Source organism: Homo sapiens, chromosome 4, assembly GCF_000001405.40.
Source record: "Homo sapiens chromosome 4, GRCh38.p14 Primary Assembly".
NCBI lineage: Eukaryota > Metazoa > Chordata > Mammalia > Primates > Hominidae > Homo > Homo sapiens.
Genome location: NC_000004.12, coordinates 158,623,290 through 158,640,555, shown reverse-complemented (window position 1 = coordinate 158,640,555; position 17,266 = coordinate 158,623,290). Strand labels below are relative to the sequence as shown.

Here is a 17,266-nt window from a genome sequence, read left to right as displayed (position 1 = left end):
TGATTGTTAAAAAGAGCTGGCACCTCCTCTTCTCTCTCTGGCTTTCTCTCTCGCCATTTGACACACCTACTCCCTCTTTGTCCTCTGCCATGATTAAAAGCTTTCCTGACGACCTCACCAAAATTAGAGGTTGGTACCATGCTTCTCTTACAACTTACAGAACTGTGAGCCAAAATAAACTCTTCCTTATAAACTACCGAGCCTCCGATATTCCTTTGTAGTAATGCAAAATGGACTAACACACCCTATACACCAATTACTAGCTCATTAGGCAAACATCAATATCTGTGAACAGTTATTAGAGCTGAGGAGAACTTCTTACAAGACCAAGTGGATTCCCCTCACATCATGTTTCCTGAGATTCAAAAAATCTCCTATGAGATTCTACCAGACTGTGGAAAACTAAAATCATCTCACCCAATATCAAAGGTTTAAGAGTTTTAATTATTGTTTAGACATGTCTCAGTCCACTTGGCTGCTGTAACAAAAATACCATAGACTGAGTGACTTAGACGACAAATGTTCATTTCTCACAGTTCTGGAGGCTGGGAAGACCAAGATCAAGGTGCCAGCAGATTCAGTGTCTGGTAGGGGACCACATGTTTCATAGATGGCCATCTTCTCTGTCTGTCTTCACAAGGTGGAGGGGCAAGGGTCGTCTCCAGAGTCTCTTTTCTTTTCTTTTTTTTTCTTTTTGAGATGGAGTCTCACTCTGTCGCCCAGGCTGGAGTGCAGTGGCACCATCTTGGCTCACTGCAACCTCCACCTCCAGGGTTCAAGCGATTCTCCTGCCTCAGCCTCCTGAGTAGCTGGAATCACCACCACGACTGGCTAATTTTTGTATTTTTAGTAGAGACGAGGTTTCACCATGTTGGCCAGGCTGGTCTTGAACTCTTGACCTCAGGTGATCCACCCACCTCGGCCGCCCAAAGTGCTGGGATTACAGGCATGAGCCACTGGCCTGGACCAGAGTCTGTTTTCTAAGGGCACTAATCCCACTCATGAGGGCTCTGTCCTCATGACCTAGTCACCTCCCAAAGGCCCTACCTCCTTGTACCATTGCATTGGGGTTAGTATTTCAATATATACATTTTGGAGGAACACAAACTTTCAGTTTATAGCTGGCAAATTAGTAGAAAATATTAATAGATTGGATGCATTATCATAATACACATGGAAACAAATATTAACATCACAGTGAAAAACAATAAAATATCTACTTACATGTGAGAGAGATTCATAAGAGGTCTAAACATCCTTTGTTGGATATTTGAAATTTCAATCCCTTCTAGGCTGCTAAAAATATCAAATTAATAATCAATCAAAGGAACATGTATTATACATGGTTTAATAAATTGAGTTTCTGTGAAGGACAATTTAATAAAATGCTTTTAGTTAACACTTACTCTGAACAAAATAATTATACTCAACCCACCCACTTCCCCAAATCCTCCTCCTTCTGATTGTGTTATTTATACACGTATTATCTTCCTTATTTGATTTTTTTCAGATCCTCACAGATCATGGCACAATGCTTTGTGCATTTTAACTAATCAATAAATATGTGTGGAATAAATGCACAAGCATTATCTTTTGTACAATATTACAATAGCAGAGGATGCTTTACATCCTTGAAAATTTCCTAGTAATTTTTAATTAATAAATTTTTTTCTAATAAAATGTCATTTTACTGAGGGAACACTCAAATTAAATGAACTGAAGCTTACCTTTTTTTTTTTTTTTTGAGACAGGGTCTTCCTCTGTTGCCCAGGCTGGTGTGGTGGTATGAACAGGGCTTACTGCAGCCTCAACCTCCCAACTCAAGCAATGTTCCCACCTCAGCCTCCCAAGTAGCTAGGACCACAGGTGCATGCCACCACACTCAACTAATTTGCTTATTTTTATTTTTTTGTAGAGGCAGCATCTCCCTATGTTGCCCAGGTTGTTCTTCAACTCCTGATCTCAAGCAATCCTCCTGCTTCGGACTCCCAAAGTGCTGAGTTTACAGGTGTGAACCACTGCACTCAGCCCTGAAGCTTATCTTTTAAGGCAATTCTTTGGCTCTAACAGAATTTTTGTCTTTTTGTGTGTGTGTGGTACAAGTAAGGATTTATATAATCTAGCATATTCCATCTTGGGGTAAAAACACTTATAATAAATTATAAAATACCCAGTGTTAAGAGAGTGAATATGCACAGATGTCTTTGAAGGGTCAAAGCAAACAAATCAACATAAGCTCCTAATGACTTATAGAAAAATATAAAATAATTCATCATTATTTTTTAATTTACAAGTATATAAGATAAAACTAATAGTTGTCTGTTTATAGTTCAGCAAGCACCCATATGTTTTTGTGGAGCTAAACTAATGTCTTGGAAATAAAGCTTATGATTTGAAGTAAATATATAAAAATATACATTGTTAGTATTTAAAAAACAATTTTATCATAAAACTATCCCCATATGTGAATACTTACAGAGACTTGAGTTTGACAAGATAATCAAATTGGTTTGCTTGAATTTTCTGGATTGGATTATAGGAAAGATTCCTGTTTTTTAAAAAAAGCAGCAATAGGTCATTTCTAAAAACTACATGAGTAAAGCGAGTGAATCTGTTTATTTTGGGTTACTTTAACATATTTATGAACGAAAGTATACAATAACTCGTAATGGATGAAAGACTTAAACTGTAAAATTATAAAACGACTAGAAGAAAACATAGGTGGAAAGCCCCAGGACATTAACCTGGGTGATGATTTTTTTGGATATTGCCCCAAAAATATAGGCAACAAAAGTGAAATAGATGAATGGGATTACATAAAACTAAAAAGCCTCTGCACAGCTAAGGAAACAATCAACAGAGTGAGGAGACAACCTGTGTAATGGGGGACAATATTTGCAAATCATATATCTGGTAAGTGGTTAATACCCAAAATGTGTAAGGAACTCAAACAACTCAGCAAGAAAACAAATAAGCTGGTTAAAAATTAGGGAAAGGGCTTGAATAGACATTTTTCAAAAGAAGACATATAAATGACTAACAGGTATATGAAAAAGTGCTCAACATCACTAATCATCAGAGAAATGCAAACTGAAACCACAATATTACCTCACACCTTTTAGAATAATTTTTATCAAAAAGATGAAAGATAAGGGTTGAGGATGATTTGAAGAAAAGGTTGCCCCTTGCATACTGGTGATGGGAATATAAATTAGTACAACCATTATGGAAAATAGTATGGGGCTTCCTCAAAAATCAAAAATTGAACTACTACATGATCCAGAAATTCCTCTACTGGATATATATCCAAAGGAAATAAAATCAGTATATTAAAGAGATTTCTGTACTCCCATATTCATTGCAGCATTATTCATAATAGCCAAGGTATGGATTCAACCCAAGTGTCCATCAAAGGATGACTTGATAAAAAAATATGTATACATACACAATAGAATACTATTCAGCCTTAAAAAACACAGAAAATCCTGTCATTTGCAACAACATGAATGAATCTGGAGGACATTATGCTACATGAAGTAAGTCAGGCATAGAAAGACAATTACCACATGATCTCATTTATATGTGGAATCTAAAAAAGTTGAACTCATGGAAGTAGAGAGTAGAAGGTGGTCACTAGAGGCAGGTGGGAAAGGATTGGAATATATTGGTCAAAAGGTACAAAAATTTCACTTAGAAAAGAGGAATAAGTTCAAGACATCTATTGTGTAACATGCTGACTATAGCAAATAACAATGTATTGTATTCTTGAAAATTGCTAAGAGAGTAGACGTTAAGTGTTCTCACCACAAAAAATAAGTATGTGAGATGATGCATATGTTAATTAGCCCAATTTAGGCATTCCACAATGTATACATATTTCAAAACATCATGTTGTACTGATAAATATATACAATTTTTGTTTGTCAGTGAAATAAAGAGATAGCAATAGCATTGGCCTCACAGGGTTGATTGTACATGTAAGTGAATTAATTAAGATAAAACACTTAGAACAGTGCCCAGCTTGTGGTAGATACTCTGTGATTACGGTAGTGATAGACTGAGACCTAATAAAACATAGGCATGAAGGCGGAGCTGTCAAGAAAGGGCTGCCACCAGAGAAGTGGTAGGGGACTGAGAAAGAGCCGCATCTACTTCACATTTTGCCTAAGATCAGATATGGTTTAAACAAAATGAAATAAAATAATCTCATTTAGTCAAAATTTGAATTAATGGAATAATATATCATATATTTTACAATAAATCTTAAGTCATGAAACATGAAATGAAAAGTAGACTTTAAAGGGAATTTATTGTTATATTTTAATTTTTTAGAGATGGGGACTTGCTATGTTGCTCAGGCTGTACTCAAACTCCTGGGCTCAAGGGATCCTCCTGCCCCAGCTTCTCAACTCACTGGGACTACAAGCACCTGCCTTCTTAAAGAGAACTGAAAGGTAAATTTAAATGGAGAAAATTTCAGAATCTTTGAAAAACAACACCTTGAAACAAGAATCATTGATTAAAGGAAACTTCTCAGGAAAATTTCTCTTTTTAAAATATTTAGACTGGGTGTGGTGGCTCATGCCTGTAATCGCAGCATTTTGGGAGGCCGAGGTGAGAGAATGGCATGAGCCTTGAAGTCCAATATGAGCAGCCTGGGCAACATAATGAGGCCCCCATCTCTACAAAAACAAAATTAAAAAAAAAGAGGAAATAAACAAAAATATTTACTGAAGATTAGACCATAAGTTACATGGGGGATGGAAGGAACTGCTGGGGGAGCCACAGTTACAGAAAGAAGGAAAGAGAGAAAGAATGACAATGACCAATGGGTTGTATAAAAAAATGAAGTGGACTCAGCAAACTAAAAATAAAAGGAAACTACCTCACATAATAAAGGATGTATATGAAAACCCACACTCAATGGTAAAAGACCAAAAGCTTTCCCTTAAGAGTGGGAACAAGACAAGGATTCCTGCTTTTACCACTTTCATTCAACATAATGTTGGAAGTCCTAATTAGAACAATTCGGCAAGAAAAAAAAGTGAAAGGCAGGCATCCAAATTGTAAAAGAAGAAAAAAATGATCTCTGTTTACAGGTGATGTAATCTTATATGTAGAATATCCTAAAGATTTAACTAAAAAGAAATCCATTTGAACTAAAACATTCATCAACATTCCTGGATATAAAATTAACACACAAAAATCAGCTGTGTTTCTATATGCAATGAATAATCACAAAAGAAAATGAGGAAAAGAATTCCATTTACAATAGCATCAAAAGAATAATATACTTAAATAAACTTAACCAAGGAGGTGAAAGATAAATACCCTGGCAACTGCGAAACATTGCTGAAAGAAAATAAGGAAGACACCAATGAAAGGAAAGACATGCTATGTTCACAGATCAGAAGACTTAATATTAAGATGTCAGTATTGCTCAAAGTGAGCTACAGATTCAAAGCAACCTGCCAAAATCCCATTGCCTTTTTTTTTTGCAGAAATATGAAAATCCATCCTAAAATTCATATGGAAAATGCAGGGAGCCCACATAGCCAAACAATCTTGAAAAAAGCAGAACAAAATTGGAGATTTTACACCACTTAATTTCAAAACATACTACAAAGCTACAGCAATCAGTGTGGTACTGGCTGAAATACAGACATGTAGACTAATGGAATAGAATAGAGAGCTCAGGAATAAACTCACAGATATATGGTCAAATGATTTTCAACAAGGGTGCCAAGGACATTCAATGGGGAAAGAGTAGTCTTTTCAATAAATTGTGTTGAGAAAACTGGACATCCACATGCAAAAGAATGAAGTTGGATCCTTACCTTACACCATGTACATAAGTTAACTCAAAATGGATTTAAGACCTAAATATTAAAGCTAAAAACTATAAGACTCTTAGAAGAAATCATACAGGAAAAGCTTCATGACATGACACCAATGACATTTGGTGTTATTTTGGATATGACACCAAAAGCATAAGTAACAAAAAAAGAAATTTAAAAATTAGACTATACATAAATTAAAAACTTTTGTGCATCAAAGGACACCATAATAGAGTGAAAAGGCAGCCCATACAATGGGAGAAAATATTTGAAAATCATGTATCTGAAAAGAAGTTAACATCCAGAATATATAAGAACTCCAACAATCTAACAACTACAGAAAACCTGAACAATCCAATTGAAAAATGAGTGAATGACTTGAACAGATTTTTCTGCAAGAAGGTATCCAAATGGCCAATAAGCACATGAAAAGTTGCTCAACATCACTAATCACTGGGAATCACAAAACAAAATCACAGTGAGATACCATTTCACATCCATTAGCATGCCTATTATCAAAAAAACAGAAAATACCAAGTGTTGGGAAGGATGTGGAGAAATGGAAACCCTAGTATACTACTAGCGGAAATGTAAAATGGTTAAACTCCTATGGAAAACAGAATGAAACATGCATTAAAAATAAAATGACAGAAATGTATGAAACAGCAATTCTACTTTTGAGAGTAGGTACCTAAAAATTGAAAGCAGAGTCAACAGATATTTGTACGCCCATGTTCATAGCAACATTATCCACAATAGGCAAAAGATGGAAGCAACTAAAATGTCCATTGATGGGTGAATAAACACTGCAATACATATACACAATGAAATATTGTTCAGCCTTAAGAAGGAAGGAAATTCATTTCTGCTACAACAGAAATGAAACTTGAAGACAGTATGCTAAGTAGAATAGGCCTGTCACAAAAAGATAAATATTCCATGATTTTACTTCTATGAGGTATCTGGAGTAGTCAAATTCACACAGACACAAAGTAGAATGGTGGTAGCCAGGGGATGGGGAAACGGTGAGTGGGAAGTTAGTGTTTAGTGGCTAGAGTTTCAGTTTTGCAACATGAAAAACTTCTGGAGGTAGATGGTGGTGGTGGTTGGGCAGCAATGTGAATGTAGCTAATGCTACTCAACTACACACTTAAAAATGGCTAATTTTATGTTATGCATATTTTACAATTTAAAAAATAATAAAATAAAGAAACGAGGTGGCAAAATTAACATCAGTCTTACAATTGTGACAGCTCCTTCAGGTCCTTGAATATAAGCGGTGGAAGATTTTCAATCTTATTACTTCCTAAATCCCTGGAGAAATAATTGCAAATATGTGATATTATTTTCTTAAGACTTTACTCATTGTTCTGAAATTCATTAGGAAACCACTATACAACTTTTCAACAATGCCATTGGTGAGTTATATTAATCACCAGAAGTCTAAAAATTTAAAAAAGGAGCAAAGTTGGAAAATATAAAAATATTTTATTCCATTTCATCATCCCCTGGAAGACAAATACTTGATGGTATTTGATCTTTTTTTTTTGAGACCGAGTATCACTCTGTCACCCAGGCTGGAGTGTAGTGGTGCGATTTTGGCACACCACAACCTCTGTCTCCCGGGTTCAAGTGATTCTCCTGCCTCAGCCTCCCCAGTAGGTGAGATTACAGGTGTGTGCTACCACGCCTGGCTAATTTTTGTATTTTTAGTAGAGACGGGGTTTCACTATGTTGGCCAGGTTGGTCTCGAACTCCTGACCTTGTGATCCAATCGCCTCAGCCTCCCAAAGTCCTGGGATTACAGGCGTGAGCCACTGCACCTGGCCTGATCTGGTTTTAATCAATCGCATTTTCTCATTCTTTTGATTTCTGTGTTGTGCCCCTTCTTCCTTTGTTCTCTTTTTTTGTGTGTTAGAATAGATGCATGGTTTGCGATCTTAATTTTTTTCTTCCGCTTAGGATTGTTGTGATTATTATGGAAGTGTATTATTTCAAGTTCGAGTTTCTTCCACAGCTGATATACACAGGCTCTCATATTATCCTGGGGTAGGATACTTTGCATGCCATCTCATGTATGTGTAGAGGGTCTGCTTAACATGGTATGACCTCGTACCTTAGTCCTAAAAAGGTGTTTGACAGCAGCACCTCTCGTGGTAGCTTTGACAGTGGCAGCTCTCATGTGAAAGGCCTCAGATTCTTTTATACAAGAAAAAGTTTCAATAGACTTGAGCTCTGTAAGGTGATCAAGAGATACTAAGGGAAAGTCTAACCTTTTCTTCTATTCATCTCCAAATCATATTTGTTGCCACTGGGATAGGTAGGAGAATGAATAGATGTATTTGTTATATATGCTGGTTTGCTTATAAGGCAAACGTTAGATTTTTTGACCTCGAAGGGTAGGACAATTTTTAGACTGAGTTTTTAAAACTAAAAATAAGTGGCTAATATAATGTGATAAATATTATAAACGTCTTTGCTGCAAACTGAACCTGGAGACTATTGCTGTTAGTTACATATTTATCGGTGAATTGTCAACAGATTGTTCTGATTAGACAACTGAAGGAATTACTCAAAAATTCCATCTCTTTCATAAAGAGTTGGAATCTCCTTCAATAGCTTACTGTACCTTAGGAGATGAAATCAAAACCGCATTGTGTGAGTGCAGTGGCACAAACGGCTCACTGCAACCTCCACCTCCCGGGCTTAAGCATGCTCCCGCCTCAGCCTCCTGAGTAGCTGGGACTACAGCCATATGCCACCATGCCCAGCTAATCTTTGTATTTTTGATAGAGACTGGGTTTCTTCATGTTCCCCAGGCTGGTCTTGAACTCCTGGGCACAAGTGATCATCCCGTCTCAGCCTCCCAAAGTGCTGGGATTACAGATGTGAGCCACTGCGCCTGGCCATAATGAACCTTTAAATATTCAAATGTCTTGCCATTGACTATGTTTCCAGTCTCCTTGCCTACCACTTTCTATCCAAAGTAACTTTTCACCATGACCCGAATGCACTTCAGTATTTTAATCCCCATGCTCTTCTTTCCCTCCTTGTGATCTCATATTCATCCTTCTAGACTTCATTCAAACGTCATTCCTCTGTTTAACCTCTGAGCCCAGGGAGGTTAAGTGTTTTGTCCTTTGTTCTCCTATGCATTCCTCTTGCACACTTCTAGTATAGCACATATAACACATATAGCACATATAACATCATACTACAACTGTTTCTGTACATATGTGCTTCCTTTCTGAAACGTGAGTTCTTTGAGTACAAGAACGATATCTATTCATCTGGGCTACCCAGTGCCTAGCTCAGTTTTGGACTAGCTGTTTTCTCCATCCCCAGTTAGAAGACTATGAATACACTGAGTCTATCTGCTTCATCTTTAGTAAAAGTGGGGCACAATTTCAGTTCCTTGTATAGGAAGCCAAGTAAAATATTGATCATATTAGTAAAGCAATGTGCAAATGGATTTAAAATGGTGCACTGGGATATTAAAATTCCAAATGTCTTGTTCAACAATTACTGGTGGGAGTGTGGGTTTTGTTATCAGAGCAAATCCTGGCAGATAGTTCTAACAGCATGAATCATGTAATGGGATAGTGTTGGCCCAGATCCCAAGTGACATTTGAAAGGGCCATTTTCTCAGCTTAAGTTTAGGAAAGTTAGGCTAAACTTAATTGGAGTCAAGGTCCATTTCTGAATGAACTCAGGAAACACCTTGTAAACTAGAGTAGTTGACTTTAAAAGCTCAAATTAAGTCACCCACGTGGCAAAGATTTTCTGTCACTAGAGCTACTTAAAGTCCTCTGTGACAAGTGAATCCTCTTTGTCCTCATTAACTCTGTTGGTGTGATGGAGCCTGGAGGGGCACAGAGTGTAGTTCAACCCTCTCTCAAAAGGACACTTTAGATATAGACTCATCCAATGAAAGCCATCGACTCTTAGAAAACATGCTATTTTTGTCCTGGTGAATCTGATTTTTCAGGTAAGTGTTTAATATGGGATTAGGTGCATTAAAGTCCACCTAATAATTAGCAAGACAAATTATTGGCCTTGGTCACCCTCTGCAGTTTGTATTATTCTTTCCTTTACTTCTGAACCTGGATTAGCATTGGTTATGCACTAAGCCCTTTGAGTTCATGTTCACTGTTGGTTATTGATATATAAAATCTGCACCTGACTGCCACCATGAAGGCTAGGATTTGAAGGAACTGTCCCTTGATATTCAGGTATGATTTCAAGTGGATGAAACAAGAAAAAGTATATAGTTAGTATTCCTTGACTAACTTGTATTCTAATGTCTAGATAATACTTTGGATCATCCAGCTGCATCTCCCCCTACTATTTAGACTACTTTCCTATGTGCTGATGATATGGTTCAATTATCACGTGCCAGGAGTTGCTACAACAGATGGTTGGGTCTATTTGTTTTTGAGATTTTCCTGCACATTTTGTGAATGATTGGTACTGACCACCAAAAGTGTTTCAGGCTACAGATAAAATGTTGGGTTTTTAATGGCTCATTCCCTGATGTTTTGGGGCAGAATGCAGGATTGTTACCTGAGAAACGTTCCTGCTCCTGGTACATGTATTCCCTCTACCTAGCATAAGGAAAAACACATTGTAACTTCTTGAGTGCCCAAGTAAGGTGTCCTGGTGTTATTTTCATAACATTCTAATTGTATTCTTTAATTTTTATGGAAAAGTTTTAATAAATCAGTGTTCTGTCTAGCTAATTGTCAAAACAAGTAGCTCTGTCCACATTCAGATTCTTTCCAGAAGATGGATACTACTTGGGCACAGTGGCTCAAGTCTGTAATACCAAAAGTATGGGAAGCTGAGGCGGGAGGATTGCTTAAGGCCAGGAGTTCTAGGCCAGCCCCAGCAACACAGAGACCCTGTCTCTACAAAAAATAAAAAAAAATTGGCTGGGCATGGTGGTGTGCTATAGTCGTAGCTACACAGGAGGCTGAGGTGGGAGGATCACTTGAGTCCAAGGAGTTCGAGGTTACGGTGAGCTATGATTGTACCATTGCACTTCAGCTTGGGCAACAGAGTGACACCCTGGTACTAGAAAAAAAGCAAACAAAAAATGAAAAGAAAAAAATTGACACTAAAATATAAAAAAATGGTCTGAAGGATAAGCACTTCATCCATTGTTCTACATCTATTTTATTCTGAAAATCAACTACAATGTACTTAGACCACGGGCTTTGGTTCATCATAGAATTGTTATAGTGCCCTTTAGAATTATGTCATTGGCATTAAAAAGGGGCATTATAAAAATAATTTATCTCTTCCATTATTATAGGTAGGAATATTATCCACAGTAGTGTCTAATTTCCTTATGGATACAAGATTATCCTTTGGTTTCAAATCAGCAAAGTGGTATCTTCTAATCTTATGGTCCCTGAATCCTAATCCTTTAGGAAACATAATAACAAATTTACTAGCCTGGCCAGCATGGTGAAACCCCATCTTTACTACAAATACAAAAATTAGCTGGGCATGGTGGGATGCACCTGTAATCCCAGCTACTCAGGAGGCTGAGGCAGGATATTTGCTTGAACCTGGGAGGCGGAGGTTGCAGTGAGCCGAGGTCATGCCACTGCACTCCAGCCTGGGAGACAGAGTGAGACCCTGTCTCAAAACAAACAAAACAAAAAACAAAAACAAAACAAAAAACCCCCCATAAATTTACCGTCCTTCTTTAGGAGTAGAACAGAGTGGTGTAGAATGTATTTTATTTATTAATTTTATACTGGCTTTATTATTTCTTTACAGCTGTGTTTCCTTTAACCCACTTTCCTCAAATATTTATATTTTTATTTTCCATATTTTTTGTATGCCATCTGAATTCCTTTGTGGCTTGAGGTGTATATATGTAAATAATGCTTAGAAAGAGGAGATAAGTAATATTTCTTAAATGTATAAACACATGTAAGTACAAGTGTGAAAAAACAGTAGAAAGAAAATTCTTATCAGTATATGTTCAGTCATACTTACAATTCATCCAGTTTCTGGAGAGGTGCAAAAGTATTTTCATTTAAGTGATTAATTTTGTTTTTCCTCATCACTCTGAAAGTAAAAAGAAAAATACATTGTAACTTCTTTAGGTAACCGACAAGAATTACTAAAGAGAGGAACGGTATGCAGAAACAAAGATAATGAATATACAGTACATTTTTCACATAAAGACATTTTGAAGTAGTATAAATTATCCAATTTAATTTTAATCCTAAATTTCTCAAATGTTTTGATGATGATAATAATAGAAATTCAAAATTTTAAGTGAAATAGGGAGGAAGAGCTTTGCACGAGAAATGGTGAAAACCCCAACTTTTGAGAATACAGACTGCATATCTTGCAACCAAGAGCATAGGAGCTGTTTTAGACTTGTCTTTTCAGTCTGCATAGCATGACTGTCTAACAAAATAGCCCACCCACCACAGCACTCCTACTCATTTGTTACTTGATGTGATTTCGGGCGGATCTGCCTAAGGAAGTCCACTCTTAGCTGAACCCCTTTAGAAGAATCTCTAATTTGGGATGCTGAATCAGTCTGTTTAACTCTTGACATTTCTGCACTGATCTCATGTGTTACCAGCTAGCCTAGAGGACCAACTCAGAACTAAGTTTTAAAGGGCTTTTAATTTTTTAAACATTGTATGACATGTCTTCAAATTGTCCTTTCCCATTTATTTCCTCACTGCACTCCAAACCATTACCACCATTTCCCAATATTCTTGGACCTTAAAAGCACAACACCTGCCAAGAGGAAATCCACAAATAATCTCTTAATACAGAGGTTTCCTTAAAAAATAAATACAAGTACAATAGAAAAGAAATTCTAAGTTTTTCAGATATCTATTTGTTCTGTGTCCTTCAGGTGCAATTTGGTTTCCTTTGGGCAATTACTATACACTATTTTGCATTATTTATATCAAGCACCCTGTACCTGAAGATTGCTGAACTCAGGAGGAGTTCAAACTGGAACTCATTGGAACCCATTGGAATGGGGGGAATTGGAGAAAACATATGGTAATATCAGTGGGAGCTATTGTATCGCCTATATACAGGGGTCCTGTGTAGTCTAGGATAATGGTTTTCAAATCATTCCTGTGGTAACACACAGTAAAAAATGTGTTTTATATTGGATCATAAAACACACACACACACACACACACACACACACACACACACACACACACCCTAAGGCTCATGAAACAATACATTTATTATCTGCATTGCAGTCTGATATAATCTATTCAATTAAATTCTGTTTCCCTTAAAAATGCTGACAAGGGTATAATAAATTGTGCTATATATTACTTTCATCACCTACTTATTAGTTGCAATCCATAGTTTGAAAAACATTCTGGTAAAATAAGCTGTGAATAGGAGAGTTGGATTTTTTTTTACTGAAGGAAGACCTAACATCCTTTACTTTTAACAGAAAATACCATGTGAATTTAAAATAGGCCAGAGATGCATAAGAAGGAATTACACTCATTAACACTTCAAGGTTTATCTTGATGTCCATAATTACATCCTCAAGGTTGTGAACATTCAGCAGTATTTTGTTTTTCATTTTGATTGTAACTATTTTTTCACAATTGTAAAGAAAAACTTAATTTATACCATAATAATTTGCAAAGGATAAACATTCTTATAGGCTAAGACTTCAATTTAGTGTTTCTCAAACTGAGATCCAACAACAGACTCTTGATGTTCTTTGGGATTTTTTTTCCATAAAATGGGTGTTTTTAAATTTTATTTGTAAGAAAAGATAATATTACTTCAAAAGCATAGCATATTACTTACAAAACAGTTAAATTACTGCAGGAAATAAAAGTCAAATTTCTTAAATTATGGATATGGTTGCCTTCAAGGTCCCTGGAACATAAAAATAAAACGATACAGCTAAATCTTAATCATGGAGAGAAATAAATTGGTTAAAATTATTTGCCTTCTAATAAAATATCTTTTCTTTACATACTGTTTATTTCATATAGACTCTCACTTGTAGCCATTTCTATTACAGCTGAAATTATATATATAAATATCTATATTATACACTTTTTTCTATGTTAAAGGTAAAAATGTTTTGCGTCCCATCTGTATCATGAGTGCATACGGGCATGTATATGAGAAATTGAAAAGAACAAGAAGTCAAATTGAAAACATTTGTTATGATAAACACCTAATTTATTAACCGATATTTCATAATGAACCATATGAAACATTTGTCCAAAGTTACCGATGGCATTTCCCTAAGTGGTGTGATTTTATTTTGCTACAGTCTGCATCAGATTCTATTATTGTTGCAAAAGCTGCTGCTGCCAAAACAATATTTAGCTCCTACCTTTCCAGCCTAATCACTCCCCAGAAAAAATCCTCAATAATCTTTTACTATTGGGAATACCCTTATTTGCTTTTTATATTGTCTCAAAGGCCAGCGCAGACAGAGAGCAAACAGCAGACTGCCTTAGGTTCTGCATCTCCAATTCAGAGAGCTGCATATATCTCTATCTCTACATCTATCTATCTATCTATCTATCTATCTATCTATCTATCTATCTATCTATCTATCTATCTATCTATATAGATATCTAAATATAATCCTCCTGGGGCTCCCTTGCTGTGTGATGCCTATGTCACCATAAACCTCCTTATGGTCTAAGCATAAAAATGTATCAAAATTTTTATGTTTTACTGTCTCTTCGTGGTTATCTTGAAGTTACTCTTTTATTGTTCCTCTTCTTTCATAAGTGAGTATATGGTGGAACTTTATAGAGCAGAGGAAGAGAGCTGAGGTTTAGGGATAGACTTTCAAAAGTAAATGCCGGCCCTTAAATCTATTCAGCCTCTTCTAACACTCAGCTTACTGGTCACCATGTAACATAAAGCTGTTCAGGAATAATTGTCACTAAAACATGTGAGCAGAAGTGTGATACAGCTATTAAAATCTGAAAGGAAACATGGAAAGTATTAATAGAAGTGCCTATACTCCACTGCCAACATGTGAGTCAGTTTTATTTTAGGTGCTGCATTAAAAATAGATGCTGACAAATCAAATATATCTGTAAAATCTGGAAGACCAGGATGTACGGTATCTAGAAATCAAGGCAATTGAAGAATATGGGGTGTTATTTATAACAAACAAAAACAAAATGAGAGATATATTTGAAGTCAGGCTATAGAATATATCAGGGGTTTTCTATGTTGCATTGGGTTGCAAAATTAGATTGACTGATCGAGGGACATAAAAAGTTTCAAATTTAAACCCAACTTAAACCTATCTAGCAATCTATGATATCCAGAGAAGTTGTTTCTTTTTACTACAGGTATTTAGCACAGACAATGTATCATATCTCTATAGTTTTGTAGACAGGATTTTTGTACTACATGGGATATTGTATTAGAATCTTAAATGTGGATTCTAGATCACCCTTCCAAATTTCTGTTATTCTATTAAGTTGGAAGCTAATCACTTATAGTGCTACTTTTTTTGGTCTTAGTTTTGGCCAAGGCTTTTGGTCTCTCATAATGTATGTTATCTGTGACAGGGACTGGCCATTTCCTTCTATTTGGTTGCTAATCATTACCCTGAATCTACCACCAGGTGGTGATGCTCTCTTAAGTCTCACAAAATGCGCTTAATGAGGTGAGTTGATGTTCCTATTTAGTTACTTACGTAACTGTTTTCTATTAGGCTGGCAAAAATATTTGTTAGTACTAATTTACTAATTTGTGAAAATCAAAAAGAGGCACATATTGGGGCACAAATTAGGACATTTGATTAAATTGGTAGTTTAATTTTGAATTTATTTTAACCTTGGGTTGTTTATTTACTGTTTTTCCCCCCTCCTGTGTTAATAATAAAAACATTTGGGGTCACATTTGTATGATGTGTTTCTATGGGCCTGTATATGAGCATACATATGAATATGTATATTTTCTTCCTAAAGTTAGGGGTTTTAGTCCTTGATAAGCAGGGATCTGGTTTGCAGCATACCTCTTAGCTGAAGCAAAAACAACAACAAAATCAAAATAACAACAAAAAATCTGTTTCTTGCTCCCTAGCTGCAAGCTTTAATGGAGTTAACGAAGGTTTTTTTATTTTTATTTCTATTTTTTACTGTGTTTAAACCACCACCCTTCCTATCTAATGAGCCTCTGAGACTAACCATTTTATTTTTCCCTTTATACCTGGTAGAATTGGATAAAAATGAAAACTTTGGTGGTTCTTCAATCTGAATAACAACAATAACAAAAGACAAAGACTATAATCTTGTCTATTCTCCCTCAACTTGTCCCTTAGTGGCATTCAAAACATGAAAATCTTACTCTCTATCTGCTTCCTCCTCTACCTTTTACATTTCTGGCTCCTATTTCACAGAGAAAACTGAGGTGATGAAGAAGGGAAAAGCCCTTGACTTGCTGCCTGACATCTGTAAACTTACCTGTATATGCACCTGGTCTCTTTCTAGTCTCAGAGGAAGAGATGACCCTTCTCCTGTTTTAGGCTAATCCCTCCATCTGTTTTCTTGAGTTTGGTTTGTGTATGTTTATGTCCTAAAATATATGGTCAATTTTGGTGAATGTTCTTTGGGCATTCTTTGCTTTCAAGTTCATATCTATTAGGATTAGGTGCACGTACATATAACAGAGACCCATCTATAATAGCATAAATACGCAGAGTTGTTGGGGTTTTTTCCCCCCAGGAAAAAAAAATCTAGAGTTGGGCAGTTCAGGGCTGATATGGTTGTTTTACAAAGTTGTTAGAAACCCAGGATCTTTCATATTCACTGATCACATGCCCTTGTCTTCATGGTACAAGATGTTGCTAAAGCTCAAGCCATCATATTCAGTTTTTTGTTTTCTGGATAAAGAAGGAAAAGAAAGGACTTGCATCTTTCTCTTTAAGGAGATTTTCCTGAAGTTCTACACTGTAATACTTCGACCTCCCTAGTCAGAACTTAAGACATATCCTATATGTGAATGCAGAGAAGTGTGGGAATGTAGTATTTTAGCTAGTTATGTTGCTGTCCCAAAGAAAGCAGTTCTGTTATTGAGAAGGGGCACTGAAGTTTGATATACACTGATTAGCATTAACTTACTAATTATGTTATTTATTTATTTTGGTTCTACTTGATCTTTTATGGAGTGAGAAGTAGTGGATTATCTTTTTTTTTTTTTTTTTTTTTTTTGAGATGGAGTTTCACTCTTGTTGCCCAGGCTGGAGTGCAATGGCACAATCTCGGCTCACTGCAACTTCTGCTTCCTGGATTCAAGTGATTCTCCTGCCTCAGCCTCCTGATTTGCTGGGATTACAGGCACCATGCTTGGCTAATTTTTTTTTTTTTTTTTGTATTTAGTAGAGACAGGGTTTCACCGTGTTAGTCAGGCTAGTCTCAAACTCC

At 36.1% G+C, this 17,266-nt stretch overlaps 1 protein-coding gene across 25 annotated transcripts in view, besides 1 other annotated feature; it reads right to left on the bottom strand.

The window, feature by feature from the left end:
• The window catches only part of RXFP1 (relaxin family peptide receptor 1), a 131,659-nt gene that overhangs the window by 12,817 nt on the left and 101,576 nt on the right, over window positions 1-17,266 (bottom strand). For 12 of the 25 annotated variants that reach the window (NR_045580.2, NR_045581.2, NR_045584.2 and 9 more), the window contains 5 exons: window positions 13,665-13,736; window positions 11,847-11,918; window positions 7,080-7,151; window positions 2,477-2,548; window positions 1,225-1,296 (listed from right to left, as the gene is read on the bottom strand). Coding sequence is in view for 19 of the 25 variants with exons in the window: in NM_001363776.1 (NP_001350705.1) it covers window positions 1,225-1,296; window positions 2,477-2,548; window positions 7,080-7,151; window positions 11,847-11,918; window positions 13,665-13,736 (360 nt within the window). In the remaining 6 variants the exon portion in view is untranslated. The remainder of the gene's footprint in view (window positions 1-1,224; window positions 1,297-2,476; window positions 2,549-7,079; window positions 7,152-11,846; window positions 11,919-13,664; window positions 13,737-17,266) is intronic. The other 13 variants (NR_045579.2, XM_011532175.2, XM_011532176.3 and 10 more) reach the window with 4 other exon arrangements.
• Window positions 9,325-9,619: a silencer, noted in NCBI's record as "tiled region #15067; K562 Repressive non-DNase unmatched - State 22:ReprW". NCBI's record gives its function as "represses a minimal TATA promoter and a strong SV40 promoter by Sharpr-MPRA in K562 cells {active_cell/tissue: K562}" and the evidence as "EXISTENCE:reporter gene assay evidence [ECO:0000049][PMID:27701403]".